The sequence below is a fragment of the Homo sapiens genome, chromosome 2, assembly GCF_000001405.40.
Source record: "Homo sapiens chromosome 2, GRCh38.p14 Primary Assembly".
Taxonomy (NCBI): domain Eukaryota; kingdom Metazoa; phylum Chordata; class Mammalia; order Primates; family Hominidae; genus Homo; species Homo sapiens.
In genome coordinates, this window is record NC_000002.12 from 203,683,879 (window position 1) to 203,688,577 (window position 4,699).

The 4,699-nt window shown below is 42.6% G+C and overlaps 1 annotated feature.

The window, feature by feature from the left end:
• Positions 202–251: an enhancer, noted in NCBI's record as "active region_17012". NCBI's record gives its function as "activates an Ori minimal core promoter by ATAC-STARR-seq in GM12878 lymphoblastoid cells {active_cell/tissue: GM12878}" and the evidence as "EXISTENCE:reporter gene assay evidence [ECO:0000049][PMID:35858748]".

Consider the following 4,699-nt stretch of genomic DNA (forward strand, 5'->3'; position numbering starts at 1 on the left):
GCCCCTTTCTTTTACTTTACTCCTTTTGGGTTTCAGCGTTGGAGAAACCCTCTCTCCTTTCCAAAGCTGAAACTGCCTGGGAGCTTTGAGTCTCTGACTCACTACTAGATTGCTCACCTATCAGGGCCATAGAGAAGACAGAGTGAGACAAGGACATTCTTACACCATGGAATAACCTCTGGGGCTTATGGTCATCAAAGCAGAGTCTTTGGTCTACAGGAAAAAGGTAACACTCTTAGACCCAGCAGAGGCATCAGCAAGGGAGTTTCCCAGGGGGAGGGACAGCCCTGCTTACTCAACTGGTCAGGGGTTACTACACACAGTAGCTCTACTCTCACAGCCTTTCCTTGCTTAGGCATACCAGTGTGTCATGATGGTGCAGCTAGTCTGATAAATGGAGCAGTTTTGGAGGGAGGCACACTGCAATAGCTTTGCAACAAAAGAGTCTATGTCTCGTCCATCATTCAAAGGAGTTATCTGAAAATTGATGACTGTAGCAAACTACTGGCTATCCCCCAAATCAATCCTTTTTTTTTTCTATAGTAACAGAATTCCCAACATGTAGCTGAGAACAGCCATGGCCATATAGGTCTGAGGTCAGCAGAGTTACACAATAGAAGGCACCTGGGTTCCAGACCCTTGGGCTGCCATACTGATCCTGGACTGCTTAGTTCCAGATTGTTAGATGAGACAGGGGAAACCATCTAGTGTACCTAAACTGCTATTATTTTGGGTCTCTGTCAAGGAGGTCAAGCCTTTATCCTAATTCAGTGACTTTGGATTTCAGTAGAATAGAGTCAATGTTAGTTGAGAACATGGTGTCATTACCCCAAGTCACCTGTTTTCAACAGGTAGCCTTACTTCTCTCAGAGATAGGTTCTTGGGACACTCTGCAGTTTCCACTGAGGGTGCAGCCTTTTGGGGACTACTATAGAGATGATTTCTCCTGTCTCATCTAAAAATCTCGACCTAAGCAGCCCAGGTCTAGTATGGCAGCCCAAGGATCTGGAACCCAGGTGCCTTCTATCATGTAAATCTGCCAGTCCATATGGCCTGCCTCTTCCCTTTAAGGATACAATCCAGAAATGGCATCACTTATGCTTACATAGAGAAAGAAAGGGCTATGATATTAGGCCTCAGAAAAGGGAGTGGAGATCTAGACTTTTCACTTCAACTCAAAAATCCTGCCCAAGACTGATACTTACTCCTTTAAACATTGCCATATTTCTCCGGCACACCCAATGATTGACGTCTGAAAGAGCAGCAGCACTTTCTCAGACATGACTACAGTGTTTAAATGTGTTGCTAGGGCATCTGTGGAATTTTCATATTCTATCTTGGGAAAGAAATCTGATAGTTCTTTGATGCTACATTCTTCTCTAGCCAGAAATACAAGGAAACCACTGTTTGCTGTGACATTTTGGCAGAACTCTGAAGTGTGGTCTGGATCTGGGAACCCACAATCCAAGAATAAGGCACCATTTACGTACAAAATTGTTGAATTTGGATGGAAACTAGGTTCAGCCATACTTGTGAAGCCACTGTCTTGCAGGGTCAAAAAGAGCTTATTTTTCAAGTAAGTGTGTTTCACTGTTTACTGGTGACTACCAAAATAATTATTTCCTGTGTGGGTCAGTAAGAGTGAGGTAATCTCAAGGAAAATGTTCCATTGTGCTTACTGGGCTGGGCAGCGCAGCAGCTCCAGACATTCTCTTAAAGCAACAGTAATTGCGTTGAATGGTAAAGTCTGGTTCATATGCCCCTGGGAGGGAGATTCATTTTCTCTTTGATACTCTGAGGATCTTGTGAGAGACAGCAAATGTGAATATATACATACATCTACACATACACATGAACATATCTGTGGGTGTGCTTAGCAGGTTGGTTCATTTAAATAGTTTTATAGATATTTTAGAAAGGTAGTTCTTTATGAGCCAGGATAATGTGCTCTGCTTCTCTCAATGTGAAAGTAGAACCTCACCTTGTGCAAGTTGTCATTGGTTTCCTTGTCTGTTACGAGCCACTTGAGGGTAATGCTTTGTCTTTGTCTTCCCAGCCCATACTAATGGGCCTATCACTGAGTAAAATTCTCATTAATCACTTGTTGGATGAATGAATGGCTTGCAAAGGAAGTGAATTGCAGGAAGGTGACTACCACCCAAAAGTTGACTTGTACCATGACACTGACATGAGAGAGTTTGCCCGAAGGAGTGCTTAGCCAGCCAGGATTGGAACATCATTGAGGTGCCAAACTCCATGGTTCCAGAGATTAAACAGCTCTGTGCTTCATATCACCATCTTTCCTGGAATAAGAATTATCCACCCCAGTTGTTAGATTCTGGCACAACAAGTAGGGTGAATTGTGGCAGCTGGATCAACAGGTGACAGACAAACTAGGCCAAATGAGATATCACTTCTGGTCCATAAAATAGAGAGATGCTTTTGAATATTCGATATTTCACCCAGCTCACTACCTTCCACGACTGCTCTCATGTAGGAGCCAAGAGTGTACATTGTATATTATAGAAAATATTCCCCTATTATAAGAGGGAATACTCACTATTGATTAATCCACTTACCAAATTTTTGTTGAGTGCCTGCTATGTGCCAAGCATTGTATTGCTGCTGGAGTACACAGGTGGACAAACCAGACGTGGTTCTTGCCCTTAAGAAGCTCAGCCTTTGGCTGGGTGCGATGGCTCGTGCCTGTAATCCCAACACTTTGGGAAGCCAAGGCGGGTGGATCACATAAGGCCAGGAGCTTGAGACCAGCCTGGCCAACATACTGAAACCCCATCTCTACTGAAAAATACAAAAATTAACCAGGCGTGGTGGCACACTCCTGTAATCCCAGATATTCGAGAGGCTGAGGCATGAGAATCACTTGAACCAAGGAGGTAGAGGTTGCAATGAGCTGAGATTGCGCCACTGCACTCCAACCTGGGCAACAGAGTGAGACTCTGTCTCAAGAAAAAAAAAAAAAAAGTTCAGCCTTTAATGGAAGAGTCAGACAAATAAACAAAATACATAAAATAATTATGTTTTATGTGGCCAGTTATGAAAAATAAACTAGATATTGAGGTAAGGATGAAATGGAAGTACATAGGGGGTGAGAAATAACTGTCAGGAGGAAGGAAAAGGCCTGGGATGAGTAAAGGGGAAGAACATTTTAGAGGAAAAAAACTCATGTTAAAGACCTCAGGCCTAAAATAAATTGGTGTTTTAGAGGCTAGAGAACAATGCCCATGAGTCTATAGCAGAGTGAGTGAGGGGGTGAGTGTGTCCTAACTGGCAGAAGTCCTCTAAGGATTTTTGGATCTATTGTCAAGGACAGTATATCAAATGGTAGATGTTGACTGTTTGCAGAGCGCTCAGGAAGCTTTACATCATTATCCACAGCAAGAGGTCTGAGCTTGAGTGTGGTCCTCCCACTGCACATGTAATCTCAGATACTACATGTTCTACCTTGCTGAGTAATAGTAAGTAGAATGGAATGTTGGACTTTATCTAAAATGTGGGAGTAAAACAAGTACATGTGAAACTGCAGAGCTTATCATTCTGGTCCAGGTATCATGAGGAAAGGAGAAAACCATGGTTGGGAGCGGCCATCCACACCCAACTAGTATTTGGAACTGGAGGCTACAGAGAATTCTGCTACTGAGGTCTACAATGTTATTTGCCCTTTCTGCTCCTTGATCTTTCACTGCATAAACCATCTGGGAAGTGTCCTTTATGGTTGTCATTAAAATGCTGCCAGATTCCAGTATTGAGACCATAGGGAATGCAGTAGTGTGCGTGTGTGTGTTTGTGAGTGTGTATGTGTGTGTGCCATCCATGTGTGGGTAGATGAGATGCTGATGGGAACCGGATATACTAATGTATTCAGGGGTTCTTAACTAGGTGTCCAATGTAAACTTGGTTGAGAAAAAAATTATACCTTCCTTTTCATTATCCTCTCCAACTGAAATTTAACATTTCAATGATATATTTAAGTAACAAACCACAGTATTTTTTGCAGTACTTGTCACTTTGTCATCAATAGAATCACAGATATTTTCATGTCACATTATAGTTGTTCCAAGTATCTCAAAATATTACTTATGCTTACCACTACTTCAAAATTATGGTAGTTATCGGCTGGATGCGGTGGCTCACGTCTGTAATCCCAGCACTTTGGGAGGCCGAGGCGGGTGGCTCATGAGGTCAGGAGATTGAGACCATCCTGGCTATGGTGATACCCCGTCTCTACTAAAAATACAAAAAATTAGCTCGGCGTGGTGGCGGGGCCTGTTGTCCCAGCTACTTGGGAGGCTGAGGCAGGAGAATGGCATGAACCTGGGTGGTGGAGCTTGCAGTGAGCCGAGATTGTGCCACTGTACTCCAGCCTGGGCAACAGAGCGAGACTCTGTCTCAAAAAAAAAAAATTATGGTAGTTATCATACCATAGCTAGATTTAATATGTTAATGAAGCATATTTATTACTATATCATGAACATTTGTTTTTAAAAAAATATTTGAAAACTACATTTCAAAACTTTCAGTTTTCTTTGCAATCCAATGTATTTTATTTTATGCATTTCAAAACATGATTGTGAGAAGGGGTCTTTAGGCTTCCAGACCACCAAAGGGGTCCCTGACACAAAAAAGGTTAAGAGCTGTCAGACTTATTGGACATAGTCTTGCCAGGTGGATGTAAGAG